At 49.3% G+C, this 18,757-nt stretch overlaps 1 protein-coding gene and 1 long non-coding RNA gene across 4 annotated transcripts in view, besides 1 other annotated feature; both read right to left on the reverse strand.

Annotated features, from left to right (window-relative positions):
- The window catches only part of LRFN2 (leucine rich repeat and fibronectin type III domain containing 2), a 195,774-nt gene that overhangs the window by 113,624 nt on the left and 63,393 nt on the right, over positions 1-18,757 (reverse strand). The window lies entirely within an intron of this gene.
- On the reverse strand, positions 284-18,751 carry LOC105379699 (uncharacterized). 3 transcript variants are annotated; one of them, NR_182434.1, is made up of 3 exons: positions 18,618-18,751; positions 12,198-12,299; positions 284-1,183 (listed from the first exon to the last, which is right to left on the reverse strand). It is a non-coding gene; the product is annotated as an uncharacterized LOC105379699 (long non-coding RNA). The 3 variants fall into 3 exon arrangements; NR_182433.1 differs by having other exon boundaries at positions 12,090-12,299; NR_182435.1 differs by lacking the exon at positions 284-1,183 and adding an exon at positions 11,126-11,230 and having other exon boundaries at positions 12,090-12,299.
- Positions 4,590-5,090: an enhancer, noted in NCBI's record as "H3K4me1 hESC enhancer chr6:40477543-40478043 (GRCh37/hg19 assembly coordinates)". NCBI's record gives its function as "activates a minimal SCP1, AML or CMV promoter by ChIP-STARR-seq in primed H9 embryonic stem cells {active_cell/tissue: H9 hESC(primed)}" and the evidence as "EXISTENCE:reporter gene assay evidence [ECO:0000049][PMID:30033119]".

Genomic DNA, 18,757 nt, shown 5'->3' on the forward strand with positions numbered 1-18,757 from the left:
GCTAGTCGGTGAGATCCCTAACATGAGAAAATAGCCTCATAGCCAGTCTAATTACCACTTTCCACAAGGAATTTCACCGTGCGTGCTCGTTTGCTTTTTAATCATCCTCTAAATATACATTTTCACGTTATATCCTAATGGCACCCAGAGAATCATTAGGATCTGTTGGGACCATAATCCATGGTTTCGGAAGTCTCTAAGTATGTAATTTCGCTCCATGACGCAGGTTTCTAAAAGTCCGCAAATAACCATTTGCATGATAAAGTCACAACTCTAAAGTCAATTACAGCTACAGCTGGAGAGAATTTATTTCCTTTTTGAAAATTAAAACATGAAATTGGGAAGTTGCCACACAAAGCCTTCCCTTGCCTGGGTGGGATGAGGAAACAGAATCTGGCCCTTTCCGCTACCCCTCATCGTGGGGTGGAGGCCCTGATTGACAGGGAGCAGCTCTTTCATAATCACTGGGTAGCCTAGGGCAGGGGCCTCTAGGGTGGCACTCAGTGGAGTTGGCTGTGGGACTTTGCCTCACACAGGTCTCACCTATCTTCCCCCCATGTCTTAAGATCATGCCTCCTGGCAGGGGTTGGGGGGTCCCACCTGTGACTCCCCAGGATGGGTCTCCTCAGCTTGGCTGGCTTAGCCAGCTGGCCAGCTAGAGATCCAAGGCACGTGGAGATGGGCAGGGGTCTGGGGCTCAAATGACCTTGACATGAGACAGTGTGGCCAAGTGTGCACTGGAATGAATGAACCCACTGTTCCCCATCTCAATATTCAGGATCCTGCAGGCTGGGCCTGAGCTCTGAGGGCCCTCCAGTGAGGGGCCTAGATCTTTCAAGGAGCCTGGGCATGGCTTGGAACTGTCACCATTTCTACAACATCAGGACTAGACGCACTTTAGAAAGCTTCTTATTCCAGCATTCTCAAAGTGCAGAAGGAAGGAAAGCTTCTCTGCCAAGGTCACACCAGTAAAGGGCAGTAAAGTGGGTGTCTACACCCGCTTCCCTCCCTCTTAGAATAAGCCGTGTCATGGAACCTGGCAGTCCCACCACAAGTCATCAGAATAAAAACCATCCGGGTGGATTTCTGCTCTCTTTTCATGTGGAGATTTGTGCAGGAACTTGAACTGAAAGCAGAGTTCTGACCAGAATGAATCTGCTGGCTCTTTGAAGCATGAATGGAACTATTCGAAAAAAGAAAAAAATATAAGGATACCCTCAGAAATCATGTTCACTGGAGTCAAATCTACATTCTATATATTCTAGAACTGTGACGCTAGGAGTGGAGCCTTGATCTAGTCTCCAGTCTTAACTGCTACTTTATTTAGTTGGTATTTAGGATCATGAGGAAGGTGCATTCATCAATGGAAGGTGCTAGCATGCTGGCGGGTTCCCCAGGCATGTTCCTATATGCCCTGCAAATCAGACTGTGTGGTGGTTTGCCCCCGTTGTTAAGCCTCACTGTCCCAGACCTATTGGAAGATGTCTCTTCCAATATGTCACTGTCCCCAAAGCTGGGATCAACCATGCCTCACTTTAAGAAGGAGCCCAGGATAGGGACGGTGGGAATTCATTGACCAGGAGTTTGCAGTTCTGGCCCTGACACTGCCAGTAACTGGCCTTGCAAATCTGGGCATCTCATTTCTGCTCTGAGCCTCAGCTTCCTCAGATGCCAAATGGGACCCTAATTTACCCAGCAGGGATGTAAAGCTGAAAAAAAAAGACCACAGAATTTTGTAGTTTTATACCTGTAAAGGGGAACAGTTTTCAAATTATAAAGTACTAGACAGATCAAGAGCCATTATTAATTTAGAAAGCATGGCAATGATGTCAGGTAATCGTGCTTAAATGGTATTGATTGTTTCCGCTCCCCGCGTGGATGACGTCCTCCGCCCTTGGATGTGGAGTCAGGATCCTGGGGATGGATGCCAACTCAACTCAGCCTGGCATCTCTACTAGACCGTAAGAGCCTTGACTCATCTGGCACATGGTGGGTTCTTAATAAACGTCTACTGACACGTCAAACTAGTCTCAGAGCCAGACTAATATTGCCTTGGTTTAGTTCATGATCTAAAAGGGGATTTTTTTTACCTGTCTTCTGTACCCTAACAAAACACAGATGGGGTTTTGATTACCACTGTTTATTGAGTGCTTATTCTGTGTCAGACATGACACTAAACCCTGAACACACAGTGTCTCGTTTAATCTTCACAATGCCTTGCTGAGAGAGGGCTGAGCTTCAGAAACAGGCTCAGAGAAGTCAAGTGACATAGATCGTATAAGTGGGACATGGGAGTGCGGATTAAAGGTGGAGGGCTCTGAAGACCCTGCTCTTAACCTCAGTGCCAAAGGGCCTTCTTTTTTAAGGTTGGGCAGGCCGTTGGGACCCTTGGAACCTCAGTTTTCTCCTCTGAAAATTGGGAAGAATGATGCCCTCACCTGTTTTGGAGGGGAAAATGCCTAGTCCAGCATCTGGCACACTGTAAGTGTCAAGAAATGCTGGCGACAGCTTGTTTTGTTTGGATTTGCTGTTTTGATCATGCCTCTTGTAGATTTGAAACGACCTACTCACAAAATACACAGGCCCTGAAATGTTTCAGATTCTATCTGAATCTGATTAAACCTCAAGCCAAAACTCAGAGACAAGCACTATGATTCTTATGCTATGATGACAGTAAGATGAATAATGGCTAACAAATGTGTGCCTTTTATGACATTGTATGCATGTCATAGCTGTCCTCAAGGTGGGAGCCTCTGCCCCAGTGGAAAGGTGAGGAAACTGAGGCAGGGAGTGGGCCAGTAACCTGCAGCACAGCACAGAGTTAACAGCAAAGTCTCAGGACTCTGAGTGAGACAGTGCCCAAGCCTAGCTCTGTTCCTTCACCAGCCGTCACCTTGGGCTAGTTACCTCCCCTCCAAGCCCTCACCTCCACCTAAACTTGAATCTGATTATTTTTGCAAAGTGCTGGACACAGTGGCTTGTATCTAGTACCACTCTACAAATTTTAATAGCTCTTAGTTTTTCTGCCCAGGACATGCTGCAGGTAAGGGGCAGATCAGGGCTTTGGCCTCCTGCCAGCCATCCTGCAGTGCCCACTCTGGTCTCTCTCTGCTCATCTCCCACCCCACAGCTTCCCACTGTAGCTGCATCACTCTCCCTGCTCTCTTTCCTTCCTCTGCTCATGAATGCAGGAGATGGGGGTTTCTGGAGGGGTCTGATCAGCAGTGGGTGGTGGGGGGGATCCACCCAAGAGGACCCTGGTATTTTCTCTGTGCCTGAAGAGGCTCTGCTCCCTGCACCTAGGTCTCCAGCAGTACAGACTCAGGAGCCCACTTAGATTCAAATTCTTGTTCTACTGCATACTAGTGGGTCACCTCGAGCAAGGTACTTTACTCCTCCATGCCTCCATTTCCTTTCCGGAAAATGCAATTGACAAAAGTACCTATTTTTAAGGGTTGGCATAGGTAGTAAAAGACTTAATACATGTAAGACACATAAAGCTGTGCTTGGCATGACATTAGTGTTCCATAAATGCTCAAATATGCCGGTGGAACTAATAGTAATAGTAACAGCAGAAGCAGAGTCTTACCCGAAGCCTGGGCTCTCCCCACTCAACACACTGTCTTAGCACTGACTCTGCTAACGACCACATCATGATCTTGGATATGCCATGGGCCCTCTCTGGACCTCATTCTCACATCCATGCAATGATTGGGTTGATAAGATCATCTCCAGGGCTCCTTCTATTCCAGGACTTTGAAATCCCTTCCTTATAAGGACTATGGCAACCAGTGGGGCCTATCCTCCTTCCACCTGTGAGGTCTGCACTAGAGATGTGTGGGGAGGTGGATTATTCACTCATGCACCCATCCACTCAGTCTGTCAACAAATATTTTGGAGTGCCTGCCACTGACAAAACAGGCTCTCTCTTTCTCAATGACCTAGCCAAGGATGACACACTCCACATAACTTCCTTCCCAAATTCTGATAGAACCTCTCACTTGCTTTCTATGAATAATCTTGTTCTCTTAACACACATAAGTTCCTGCCCATATCCCCCAAGGTGGGATCACTCATGGGACAGAGCATGGGCTCTGTGTCTAGCAAGCCTGGTTTGACTGTCACCTTTCACACTCAGTAGTTCTGAGATGTCGGGCAATTTTTCCCAGAATGTGAGTCATAACCCACTTGTGGGTCAGCAGCTCAATGTAGTGGGTCATGCCCAGCATTGAAACATAATGAAAGAGTAGAGAGCAGAATGAAATGGCACAGAAAAGAGAGTGTGCTGTGCAGGTAAGGGGTGAGTGCATGCATGTGGGTATTCTAGGGAACACTGGGCTCCGCAGGTAAGGGGTGGGTGCATGCATGCAGATATGCCAGGGAATATTGGGCTATGAAGGTAAGGGGTGAGTGCCTGCATGCGGGTATGCCAGGGAACACAGGACTGCGCAGGCAGTGGGGGTGGGTGCATGCGTGCAGGTATGCCAAGGAACACTGAGCTGCACAAGTAGGAGAGCTGAGTGCATGCATGCAGGTATGCCAGGGAACACAGGACTGTGCAGGCAGTGGGGTGGGGGTGCATGCGTGCCAGTATGCCAGGGAATACTGAGCTGCGCAGGTAGGAGAGCTGAGTGCACGCATGTGAGTATGCCAGGGAACACTGGGCTGCGTAGGTAGTGGGGGTGAGTGCATGCATGCCAGTATGCCAGGGAACACTGTGCTGTGCAGGTAGGAGGGGTGGGTGTATGCATGTGGGTATGCCACGGAACACTGGGCTGTTCAGATAAGGGATGAGTGCGTGCATGCGGGTATGCCAGGGAACACTGCTGTGCAGGTAGGAGAGCTGAGTGCATGCATGTGGGTATGCCACGGAACACTGGGTTGTTCAGATAAGGGATGAGTGCGTGCATGCGGGTATGCTAGGGAACACTGTGCTGCACAGGTAGGAGGGGTGGGTGCATGCATGTGGGTATACCAGGGAACACTGGGCTTCACAGGTAAGGGGTGAGTGCATGTGGGTATGCCAAGGAACACTAGGCCATGACGGGAATCCTATGTGTTACTGTAGGATATGGCCAAAAAACTTGAAAGTCACATACCTAGAACACATAACTTGAGGGTAAAATGAGAATAGCATCAAGCCAGGTAAGGCTGGAGATTCCCAACTGATGCCTCCCTGGTCATCTGAAGTCCCCCTGTCTTTTTCCTGGTTCATGAACCTCAGCCTTCAGGAAGCTGAGTCAACTCCCTCACAAAACCCTTTGCTCCCTGTCATTCAACAAACCAGCCAGAGAGTAAGAAAGTGCATATTAATCTCACAAACATTTGTTGAGCTCCTACATGATGCCAGACCTTGGGTTCAGTGCTGAGGCACAGTGAGGAGTGGGGTGATAAGAGCTGTGCCCCAGGGAGTTTACATTCAAACACAGAAGCCAGTGATAAGCTGACAGGTCCATGACCAGAATGCCAGGCTGGACAACATGCCAGAGGAAACGAAAGCAGGGCCGAGGAGACAGGGATGCTGTTTTGCATTGGGTGGCCATTTGGACTGCCTATTCATGCCCAGCCCTGTGGCAGGCAGAATGCAGGGAGCAAGTGTGTGAGGATGACGGGGTTCTCGGCTTATAGAAGCATTGGGAAGACGAGACTCACACAGCAGTGATGAAGGAAAGGTGCACAAATCCCTAGGCCAATGCTGGAGGGGTGGGGGCACTAGAGATAGGGAGGGGAAGCCAGAATGTGCTCAGAAATCCTGTTTTGCAAGAAGAAAGGATAGAGCCAGGATAAATAGGAAGTGAGCTGGCATTCCAGGGGAGGGAGAGAGGTGAGACCATGGGGGAGAAGGCCAAAGGGAGCCTGGGGCAGGAGGGAACACAGAGTTGAGTTATCATGCACACCAGGGGAAATAATGAGGGGAGACCTTGAGGGGGCACGAAGGTCAGATGGAGTTTACTCTTGGGCCAAAAATAACATGTATGGGTCACCTACTGAGGAACTTTAGGGCCTGTGCTAAAAGTTCTACATGTGTTAGCTCATCTTCATCCACACAACTCTTGAAGTAGATGCTACATTTCACTGAATCTCAGATGCCTTTGATTAGAAGATGGATGGTAATTTTTTGTATCCCTAAGAAAGAAATGTCACTGTTAAACTTGGACAGGTCATTGATTGCAGAATGCGTTTCAATTCTAGAGATGTTAAAATAAACATCTTAGAATTGACAGAATGTGGCATTGTTATCCACGGGAAGTAGGGGCAGTGGGAGGGTAAGTAACTCTCTCTAAGTCACAAACTGGTAAGCAGCAAGGGGGTCTGAGCCCAGGCCACCCAGCTCTGGAGTGTGTGCTCTGTTTTGTCATGTGCCACCCTCTCTGTCTGGGAGACATTATGGCAAGAGGGAGGTGCTGCAAGTTTCTGAAAGGAGGCACGAGGGGTGTTCCAGGAAGCATGTGGGCCAAACTAGAGAGGGAGGAAGGGCAGGGCACCCCAAGGGGATGACAGTGAGAACCAGGTGTGGGTGCCGATGGTGTGCCAGCTCCTGGCAGGTAGAGAGGGGACGTGAGGGAGAAGAAGGGGCACACAATTATTCAAAGTTCTAATATGATGATTCTTTCCAGTCAGAGGCTGAGTTTTCTACAAAGGAGAAATGCAAGAGGTGTAGGTTTCAATTAATTGTAACTCTCTTCCTTGACCAAAGGATGCTCAGGTGGAAACAGAGAGAAAGAGGGAGGAACTAGGGAAAAGAAGGCTGAGGAAGAGGCAGGGAGGGTTTTGCAAAGATGAGCAAAGCCAGGCAGTGAATCACCGTGGGACACAGAACTCCTGAGGCTGAAAGCCAGACTTTTGGACGCTTAAAATCCAGATCATCCCCAACCCTGCCCAGGTTCCCAGGTTTTCTGTGCACACTGACCATAGTCTCCAACCCCCTTAAGGAGAACTGACGTGTCCCGCGCACTTGACTTAAGAGAGAGTAGCCAATGGATCATCTCTGTTCTTTCCTGAAAGACCCAAGGCCTCCAGTCTCCCTTTGCCTGCACTTAGGGAGGTACTTACCCTCCCATTGCCCCCGCTTCCTGTGGATAACACTGCCACATTCTGTCAATTCTAAGATGTTTATTTTAACAACACTGGAACTGGAGTGAGTCTTTTAATCAATAACATGTCAAAGTTTAATTAGCAGCGATATTTCTTTCTTAGGGACACAGAAAAATATGGTCTATCTTCTAATCAAAGGCATCTTAGATTCAATGAAATACTGTAGCACACACCTATTTCAGTATCTCAGACACACCCTGATTGCAGAGATTCTGTGCCCCCAGGCCAGGCCAAGCCAGTCTCTGTTTTTGCAGACACCTGGCAGGAGCCACATTTTGGGCCTGGTTTAGCCTAATGGATTCCCTCCTTGGCAGATGTGTACTCAGCCTCACTGAAAATAAACAGAACAGACCCTGGATTCCTCCTGGGGGCCCACCACAATGCACCATAGATCCCTGGATCCACTTTAGGAACCATGCTGGGATAAGAAAAATCTACCAGGAGGGTGCCAGAGACACACGTCCTTTATGCTGAGCCCTTGGGGAGAGAAAATCACTGCCACTTTCTGAGCAGGAAGAAATCAACTCCAGCTAATATCCCCAGTGATGGGGAAACAGCCAGCCTGGGAGATGAGAGTGAAATATACAGAGAACCTCCAGGGCAGGATGGGGTTAGGGGCCTACAAAATTCAGTCTCCTATCTTCCAGCTCAGCCAAGGTGAGCCATGGCTTTTCTGTTTATAAACGTCAGGCCTGATGCTTGTAACAGGCATTTCTTTAGCATGTCCTTAGTGGCTGGGGCTTGTCAACTGCTGGGACGCAGAGGTAGGGCCCAGAGCAAGTGCCCTAGAGAAGCCAGTATACTGGGGAGGCAGGGTGTGGCAGCTATAATTTGTCTGCAAGCTCGAGTGTTCAATAATTATTCATTTGAAGGAATATAGCAGAACAATTGAAGGAGCAGTTAACAATACGCCCTCATTTAACAATTTTTTTTTTTTTTTTGAGACAAGTTCTCACTCTCATCACCCAGGCTGAAGTGCAGTGGTGAGATCTTGGCTCACTACAACCTCTGCCTCCCGGATTCAAGCAACTCTCCTGCCTCAGCCTCCCAAGTAGCTGGGATTACAGGTGCATGCCACCACGTCCAGCTAATTTTTGTGTTTTTAGTAGAGACGGGGTTTCACCATGTTGGCCATGCTGGTCTCGAACACCTCACGTCAAGTGATCCGCCCACCTCAGCCTCCCAAAGTGCTGTGATTAGAGGCATGAGCCACTATGCTCAGCCTCATTTAACAATTTTTTGAACACCTACTAGGTGCCAGGCACTGTGAGCAGGGAACAAAATGAAAAATGATCTCCACCCTCATGGTGTGACATTCCGGAGGCGGGCGACAGACCACACTGAACAAACCAATTAAGTTAACTATATAATCTGTGCAAAGGTGATACGTGCCAGGGAGAAAAATAAAGCAGAAAAGGGGAATAGGGAGCTCTAGGGGAAGGGGTAGAGATTTTAAGAGTAGTCAGGAAGGTCTCATCAAGATGAGGGCAAGATCAAGAGAAACTTCCCAAAACTGATATCCAGCCTGAACCTTAAAAAGTGAGTGGGAGCCCACCAAGTGAAGCACTTCCGGCAGAAGGAGCAGTGTGTGCAAAGTCTCGGGGGTCTGAAGGCTCTGGGTGACCCTGGAGAGCTATCAGGAGGGGGCCTGGCCAGAGAGGACAAGGGAGCAGGGAGGTGTCCATGTCATGATGGACCACCATGCCAGGCTAAAATGTCTCAGCACTATCCAACCGGCTGGGGAGTCTTGGTGGATTTGAAGCCAAGATGTGACATAATCCTGTTTTAATAAGATCCAGTGAGAGGCAGGTATGGAAAAGCTCTGGAAAAATCCTGAACAGCATTCCCAAGGAATGCTCTACAGGGTGTTCTGTCAATTCCTAAGAACTCCATGTGAAAGAAAGCGTTCCATGCTCCAGATAGTTTTGACCCCCCACAACACAAACACACATGTATTTTATACATAGTGTATGTATGTAATACATATGTTATATGAGTTTTTTTTGTTTGTTTTGTTTTTTTCTAGACGGAATCTTGCTCTGTCGCCCAGGCTGGAATGCAGTAGTGCAATCTCAGCTCTCCGCAACCTCTGCCTCTCAAGTTCAAACAATTCTCCTGCCTCAGCCTCCTGAGTAGCTGGGATTACATGCGTGCACCACCACACCCAGCTAATTTTTGTATTTTTAGTAGAGACAGGGTTTTGCCATGTTGACCAAGCTGATCTTGAACTCCTGACCTCAGGTGATCTGCCCGCCTTGGCCTCCCAAAGTGCTGAGATTACAGGTGTGAGCCACCACACCCAGCCATATGTTACATGTGACTAGGTAAATCAGCATTGTTATGTGCCAAAGAAAGGTAAAGGATCTGAGAAGGTCTGCAGTAAAAATAAACTTTTGGCTTTTGACTTTTACAATTTTCAAAATTTCTTGATTTAGCCAATTCCAAAATCACTTGACCATATAACCCTTCTCATTTCTCTCTCCCACCCTCATAATACCTATTAGCTTCCTGGAGAAGCAGCAGAGTGGGGAAAATGCTGTCAAACAGTTCCCATTTCTTAAAGTATATCTCTTTTTCCTTATGCAGCACCCCCTCTTATGCTGCCCCTGGCTGGAGGCCCCATTTTTAGAACTTCTCAGCAGTAGCCACCACCCTGGGCCAGCCACCTGGGCAGCTCCCAGACTGCCTGGCCTGCAGCAGGTGAACGCAGCAGTCCTGGTCACTCTCTAGTGGGTTAGCATAATCCAGAACAGTGGATAATCTAAAAGCCATTTATTTTTGGCATGCTTTAGTGAGTTTATTTTTACTGTAGTCTTACTTTCCTAATTTGGCCTCACTCAGACACATGCTAAAATGAGTGTGCTTTTTCTGAACACACTCTGAGTAAAGGGGGGAAGGGGATCCAGAGGGATGCTGAGGGAGGCTGGCAGGGGAATGTCATATATGTTGTGGCCAGCGTCTCCATCCTCAACTGCATGTTGAAAAGACCTCCAGATTGGAAACTGTGTGCTGACCTGGTTCCTGAAAACAGCAGACCCAGGAGACAAAATGAGCAGAATACATGGTTCAGTGAGATTTGGTATAAAAAGCGTGAGCTTGAGGGTCACTCTGTTGGGGGTTTGAATCCCAGTGTTGCAGATCCCTTTGCCCTTTCCATGACAGTGCCTGGCTCCCAGCTGCCAGTACCTACATCCTTCACCTGAGGGCTTCTGTCACATCAAAGCCACTCTACCTGCCCACATGGTAGGTCAAAGCTGCCAGGGAATTAACACTCCACACACTTAACCTAAGAATTCCGGCTGGGCGCGGTGGCTCACGCCTGTAATCCCAGCACTTTGGGAGGCCAAGGCGGGCGGATTGCCTGAGGTCAGGAGTTCAAGACCAGCCTGGCCAACGTGGTGAAACCCCGTCTCTACTAAAAAATATAAAAAAAATTAGCCAGGCGTGGTGCCATGTGACTGTAATCCCAGGTACTCGGGAGGCTGAGGCAGGGAAATTGCTTGAACCAGGGAGGAGGAGGTTGCAGTGAGCCGAGATCGTGCCACTGCACTCCAGCCTGGGCAGCAGAGTGAGACTCCATATCAAAAAAAAAAAAAAAAAAAAAAGAAGTCTTCAACCATTGCCTCAGCATACAGGTATAAATACCCCTGCTCACTCACTCCTCAGGTGGTCCCATTCTGAGGCTTGATGGTTTCCCAGGGGGATTAGGCTCCAGTTGCCACCAGGGATAGGTGGCTTGAAAACCTGCCCTTTGTGGGCTGCCTTCCTGCTTGTCTCACCATCCATTTGTGTTTTCTGGGCCCAGCTCCCAAATAAATTACTTAGACTCAAACTCTGGTCTCAGAGCCTGCTTCTAGGGGAACCCAGACTAAGAAACCCCTTCAGGCTGGGTGACCTGGGAGCAGTGACTCAGCACAGTCTAAGCCTCAGTCTTCCCAATCATTAAAGAAGGGACATGACCCCAGCTCCCCTCCGTTCTGTTTAGGGTTCCAGATATCCCAACAGATGCCAAATAAACACTGAGACTTTGTTATTCTCTGCAACAAAATCATTTATACCAAGTCAGGTCTGGACGGGTCACCAAGCAGACTTCACAGCAGACCATGACATCCACAAGGAAACAGGAATGAGGATGCTGGGGGAGAGAAAGGATGCAGTTTTCAGCCATCTGAAGGCAGCTGGGGAAGGGTGGCCCACATGCCACTGTGAGAAGGTGAGAAGGGGTCACCTGATTTAATTTGCAGGAATCTCTAGTTGATGCCACCTGCTTTGCTAATTAGAAAATTACCTGCCAAATGGGTTCTCCCCCAGCATCTGCCCACCAACTTGCTGGCAAAGTCCCACCTCCCTGACCTCATTCCCGCCACAGCTATCTCTCTCACACACCCCCTCCACACATGCACTGTTCCCACTCAAGTCTCCAGGTTCCTGGAAGATCATGGGGTGGCCAGGAGCAGCCAAGGATGAGTGGGTCCCCATTCTGAGCCTTGCTTGCTATGTCACCTTAGAAATACACCTCCCCTCTATGGAGCTCATTCTCATCTAAGAAAGGGGCAGAAAAAGACCCCAAGGCCAGGAAGGTCTCATCCTCATCTGGGCAGAGCTCTCCATTCCTTCCATAGCTATTTTTTATTGTGTGTCTACTATGAACTAGGCCCTGTTCTAGGTGCTTGGGATATACTGCTGAATGAAGCAGAAACAGTCCCTGCCTGCATAGGGCTTACTTTCCCATTCTAGAAATCAGCACTTGCTGGAAAGAACAGCCCTCCTGTGGCAAAAGGACTAGATCACCCAAGGGTTCTGATGAGGTAACTGGCTTCACTCTCCTCATCCCTAGCTGCAGTACGTTCCCCACCCCTACCCTCACCAAAGATTACCAAGTGCCTGAAATCCCAACCTACATCCATTCAATTTAATTAACACATGGTCTCCAAAAGACCTCTGTACCAAGTAGAAGGAACATTACCAGGGAGTGAGAACTACATTAGCCCTACCTTATGAGTATGGGGGATGAAGGTATGATTCCTAGGTGGAGGGCCAGGTCGTGCTGCAAGACACAGAAGGCACAAGATGGGGAAGCAAATCCTTCTTAAAATGCACACCTTTCCACTGGTCCCATCTCAGACTTTTCAGACAAAAATCATGCTGCTCCATTTAAGCTCGACTCTGGGCAAGCTGTAGAGTCTTTCTCTCTGATGTGGCCCCTGGACAAAGGCAGAGAAGTTCTTAAGCCTCCTTCAACTCACAGAGCCAGGCCTCCATGTGGATTATCCATTTCCCTGCTCGTTCATTTTGGAACCTTCATGCTAACCAGCATTCCCTGCCCCGATGCCTCCCTAACACCTGTGTATGTGCATTGCAGAAGGCAGGCTTATTTCAGTATCAGTCTGTGCAAAGCCTAATTAGGGGGGTTAATTAGCAGCCTCTCCTCGCACACCCACCCACCAGCAACACACACTTGATGGCATAGTGTGTACGTGGCAGAGCTGGGGAGAGAGTTTATGGGATTAACTGCCCTTTGGAATTAACTCCATTAGTACGGACAATTTGGCAATGACAACAGAGACTGAATCACTCAATCAAAGTTCACATGAGCTAAGAGGGGGTCCAAGGGCAGATCAGGCCTGTTTTCCTCCTGCTCCCCACCCACTTTCTCTGACTCCTCATCTCCCAGTTCACCCCCTTTCCAAGTAGAAGTAGTTGGTGAAGTATAAAACGCCCTGTGCACGGCTTGAACATCAGGAAACCTGGATGCTAGTCCCAGTCTGGTCTCTAATTTGCTGTGTGACCTTGGGTGAATGCCTAGCTCCCTCTGGGCCTCAGTTTCTTCACTGTCAAATAATAGGCTTCAATTAGACAACAATAAGAACCATTGTGGACACTTACTGTATGCTATGAACTTGGCCCTGTACTAAGCATTTTTCATGTAACATCTTATTTAATCCTATGCTAATTTTATTCTGTTCCCTGCTCTCTCTCCAGCTGGTGACCAATAAATATTTGTTCAATGAGTTCTTCCAACACCTCTATGAAATAAATACTACTATGATCCCACTTTCCAGAGGGGAAAACTGAGGTATAGAGGATTAAGTAAGTTGCCAAGCTCACCCGGCTTAGTGAATGGTAGAGCCTGGATCTGAATTTGGGAGGTCTGGTTGCAGACCTGCATGCTCACCTCCTATGCTGCTCCCTCCTTGAAAATCTACTGACCATAGATGTGAGTCAGAGCGGGGTCTTGGTCCTGTGCACTTCAGAGCATTGGCCCAGGGTAAGCACCTAGTAATGCCCCAGGAAAGCTGGCTAGCATCATTTCTAATGTCCTTACATTGATGGCTCCCACACAACCCCTCCTTGAGCCAGTACAGATCATTCAGGATACACTTAGTCATCCATTCATTGTCATTCAACCAATACACATATTGAGTGCCTACTGTATTCCAAGCACTAGGGGCATGAAAATGAACAGGACATGGCTTCTGCCCTGGAAGGTTTACCATATTATAACAAACTGTGGTGCATGTTACCCAAGAGAAGTGATGCTTGAACTGAGCCAGGGGAGCAGGCTCAGAAGCAAGTCGGTGAAGGTGGGTGGGCGAGGGGGTTCCAGGCAGAGGAAATGGAAGTGGAGAGTCTGGGGGCAGCAGAGAGCTCAGCACGTTCAGTGGGGGCTGAACTGAGCAGTGGGGAGAGAGAGGGCAGATCTGAGCATGACCAGGGCAAACCCCAGGGGTGCTAACCATAGGAGAACCACCCCTTCTGCAGGGGTCAGGGAAAGAGTTAGGGGACTCACTACCTGAGCCAGACACTGAACTCAGTGTTCACCATAGATTATCAGTTTTGTTCACAGCTGTGTTTTCAGTTTAGAACAGTGTCCAACACACAGCAGGTAATCAATACAATATGTGCTGAGGGAGTGAATGAATGATTCTAAATCTCATAACAACCCTTTAAAATCAAGAAAACTGAGCTTCAGAGAGGTGGAATGACTGGTCTATATTGATAAGCAGTGGGACTAGGACTCAAACACTGGTATGGTCCCAAATCTGCCCATCCAACCCTGTATTCACATTCTTTTCTATAAGACTTTGAAGTTCCTCCCGTGAGGGGCAGAGAATACACCCCTTGACTTTGGATTTGACCATATGACTTGCATTGGCCAACAGAATAAAGTGGAAGTGATGTACAGTTCCAGGCTTCAGATTCAAGAGACCTCATAGGGTCCTCTTGTCTTCTTGTGCCTCCACTATGGCCATGACAAGAATATGCGTGGCCCAGCCTGCTGGTCTCAGGGGTAAGATGACAGCCATGAGAGCAGAGCTATGTGCACAGCCTCTCCAGTCAAACCAGGCTCAGCATTGCTGCTTTCAGCCATTGAGTTTTAGTGTGGCTTATTACTCAGCAAGTGCTGACGAATACAACAGGGATAGGAAAGGTGATGTGTAAAAGGTGCCCTGATAACAAACAGGGGAAGCAGGTGAGTCTATAGGGCAGGAAAGAAAGCGTTCCCAGAGAAGGAGGCATTTGAGCTGGGGATGAAATGATGAGTAAGATTTATCATTCATTCAATAAACTTGAAGTGTGCACATGCCATGTGCCAAGCACTATCCTAGGCATTAGAATTGCTCAGAGGAGAAGGGGCATGGAAGGGCATTTCAGGCAGAGGGAACAGCATATACAAGAGCAGAGTGGTGCTGGGACAATGTGGCATATATGGATATAAAGGGTGTGTAGGACAGAGTGCGTGATGAGGCTGCAAAGGTAGGCAGGGCCAGGGGAAGCAGTTCAGGCCTGACTCTGAGGTGACAGAGACCCCTTAAGGATTTTACGTAATCTAGTGATGAGACTCAGCTTTGGTTTTAGGCAGAATCCTCTGGCAACCATGAGAACTGTAGCAGGAAACAGGAAGCCCAGCCCGAGAGGAGATGATGCTGCAGTTCTGGCGTACGGCAGTGATGAAGGGGTGGAGGAGTGCAGAGGGGCTGGGAGACAGGACAGGCAGCTTAAGGATGTGGGCTGTAGAAGGAGGTGCAGGGAGGGGGAGCAAGCATGACACTCTGGGCTCCAGCCTGGGCAACTGGGTGGGAGGTTATGGAACATGGGAGGCGGGTCATTTCTGGGGCTGGAGCAGGGAAAGAAGAGATAATGCTAGGTTTATGCTCCCATTGCAGGAGAAGCCCCCTCCCTTGCAGACTTGGGTCCCACCTAACCATCCAGCCATCTGTCCAGCATAGCCAGAAGCATTGTGGCCTTCCTGTCCTTTCCTATAACTCCCATCCTCATCGGGAAGGTCCCCTCTAATGGCCACTGCTGTTCATACAATCTGAGGAGGACGAGCAGCTGGCTTTGTGCTGACACAGTGGTGCCAGCAAGGAGAGGGGCCTCTGGAGGCTGGTGCAGGCTGCAGTAGGGGGAGGGAGGGGTGGAGAGTTGCCCTACCTTAGACCTGTCCCCCTCTGCCCAGGCCTGGCTAGCCAGCCCCTTCGTGGTCTCCATGGCAGATGCTTGGCCGTGAATGTAGCTGGGGAGGCTGCCAACCCCATATCACCACCGAGCACCCTCAGAGGGGCCGCGCCCAGCAGCCAGGAGCAGGGTGGAAACATTATCTCAGTTCTGTCCCAGGCAAGCTGAGAGTTAGAGGACCAATGACATACGCACTGGAACAAACAGGCCAGGCGGGAGAAGCCACTAGAGAGACAGTGAAGAGTGCAGGGAGGCAGACTCCAAGTCCTTCCTTCAAAGGCATGGGGCCGCGTCGCTAGAGAGACACAACTAGAGTCAGAGAGGACTGTGCAGCCGGAAGGAAAGAGAGAGAGAAGAGGAGGGGACAGGAAAAGTGTGTATGCCATAGTATGTTGAATAGAGGAGAGAAGAGAGGAGGAGGGGAAAAGAAGGGAGGATGAGAAGGATTGGGATTCTCACATGGAACCTGCCAGCAGCAAGGCACTCTTGAGGTGCCCTGAAGGCATGGGGATTGGAGTGGGGAGAGGTTTAGAAAGGGCACTGACACTCCCTTCCCAGACAGGATCTCAGAGTCCCAGGCACCTGTAAGCTGAGGCTGGGGGCTGGAGGAGCCAGAGAGAGGGGGCTTCTTTGACAATTTGAAACAAAATGTGCAGAGCTTTCTAATACTAACAGCCTGTTATTAAAATCAAGTGCTATTTTGCAAAATGCATTTGCCAGAGAATCACTAATTACAGGCAAGGCACATTTCTGTATGTTGGTGCCGATTAATCCTGAACGGTTTAAGCAGTCGGATTTTATACATATAATTATCACTCAAGATTCACTAAACAGCAACAAGATGCTCTGGGCTCTGCCCTTGAGGGACTGTGTGGCAGGGAGGGGAGGAGGCAGGGAGGTGTCCAGACAAGGAGGTTCTAGCTCAGGCTGGGCTGTACTGTATCACGTGCTGGCAATGTCACCTTGACCCACCTCCTCTTATCAATCTCCTACATCTTGGAATAGAACAGAATAAAGACACCGATGAAAAGGGAGGGGTGGGAGAAGCTGAACACAGACCACAGGGGGAGCTGCTAGCAGTGCTGCACCCCTTCCCAAACATGGCCGCTTTTTGAGACTGAACTAGCTGTGGGCTTTGAAGCAAAAGGTATGCTCCATTCTTCCATGATCTTGGATTTTCATTGGTGGAATGGGCTGGCTGAAGAGTTTCTCAAGGATTAAGGCCATGCCTCCAAGACCAGAAGGAAGACAGGGAGTCTTTATGGGGTACTATGGTGCTGCTCAGCCAGAGAGGATGGGTCCTCACAGAGCCAGACGTTGTATGTGGTGCTGCCAGCTGCAAGGCATACTGGGAGGTCCTGCTGGGAAGAGGTGGCAGGGAGCTGGGGCAAGCTTGCACCAGTGCAGGGCAAAACATGGAAAAACTAAATGGCAATGTGGGACCGAAGGCCTACTGACTGCCATTCTGGGAGGAGGGACAAATTCAGATAAAAGTCAGGCTCAGCCTAGAGGGTGCCCAGGAAGGTGGACAACAGCAAGGAAGTTGGGGTATTTGAGTGGGACCCCATGGAGTGAGAAGGCTGAGCATCCAGCCAATTTTGCAAGAAGAAAAGGCCCAGAGCCCCAGCCCACTACCCAAGGCACAGGCTTGCCCCAATCTCAAGGGAAGCTGGAGGGTGGTATGAGGGTGTGGATTCCTGGGGGAAGTGGGTAGGTGAGGCAGAGAGGTTCCTGTCTGCACACAGCTCTAAGAGGACAACTGCTCTCTGCACCTCCCTCATCTCCTGCCCCTAACAACAGGTGACCAGCTTTCCCAAAGGTAGCTGGGATGGAACCAGCAAGCAGGGGCTAGCGAGGGGACCGTATAAATTTTGCTGTTTCCCACCTGCACCAGAATTCCAGGGCCCTGGCCTGCCCCCTACTCCAGAGCCCCTTCCTATGGAGGAATCCTGGGAGCACAACAGTTTGAAAAGCACTAGCTTAGAACCAGGCAGCTGCATCTATGTGGGACCCCACAGGGGTTTCAAAGAAAAAAGGGGGAATCAGGGATGACAGCCACTCATGCCTTCCCTGAGCCTGTGTCATGTTTGTGACTCTGTCCTCTGTATGATGGGCAGAAACTGGGGCTGAGTGTAAGGTGCAGGGCCTGCAGTGGATGTGAATGCACCTGTCTGGAAGATGAGTGTGTAATAAGGGAAGGACAGACACACAGGCACTAGGCCAAGTTAGCAAATCTGCCATCAGAATGGCGTTAGGGAGACTGAGTGTGCAAACATGCACTGTGACGCAAGGTGTCTCAGTAGGTGTGAGCTTTCCTTTTGTTACCATGGTCCTGTTGCTTCAGGGGCTCAAGGGGCCATTTGAAGCCCAGAGGAACAACAGACTATGTGTCACTGGACCAAATGAGATAACACCTGTGAAGGTCCTTGCCACACAGCAGGTGCTCAATAAATGCTCAATGCATGGTGAATTTGAACCCCTCCTTGTCCTCCTTCTGGAGGACTCTGGCCTCCAGTTTTGCTCTTGCAGACAGGCCCCTTGATGCATCGCCCACCTAACTCAGCAAGAGTGGGTTTCACGCAAAATGGGGCACACCCCACCCACGCCCCACCATGCCCTAACCATGGGCCTCAGCCCCATTGATCAAAGTGGTGAAGGATAATTTAATCATAAAGCCAACTCTCTTTTGTTTGGTTGGTTTTTAGTGCTTTAGGACCCTAAAGCATCTTTAGGTGATTTTTTTTTTTTTTTTTTTTTTTTTTTTTTACCGATAGCCCTATGAAGAAGGCATAACAAGACTTTACCACAGAGGCTACGAATAATACCTTTGATCCACTGAGCACCTACTCTGTGCCAGCCCCTGGGCAGGAACTGGCATGCATGGGCATGTATGATTGCACCAGAAATAAGTTCTATCATTGGCCCTGTTTACTCATGAACACATGAAGCTTGCTATGAAAGTTTAAGACACCCAAGGCCACAAGGCAGTCCCGTGGCCATGCCAAACCAGCCTGCAGCAGAGCAGGAATGCCAACCCCAGGTCTGTGCTTGAGCTCCTGTACCTCTGTCTCTGTGGCAGCACGAACAGGTGAGTTGACTGGCCCAAGGACAGAGAGATGATTAGACACAACCTGAGGCTCAAAGCTGGGTCTTCCCAGGGCCAGTACTCTTCCAATTGCCATCCAACTGTGTCTGCATAGAA

Source organism: Homo sapiens, chromosome 6, assembly GCF_000001405.40.
Source record: "Homo sapiens chromosome 6, GRCh38.p14 Primary Assembly".
Lineage (NCBI taxonomy): Eukaryota > Metazoa > Chordata > Mammalia > Primates > Hominidae > Homo > Homo sapiens.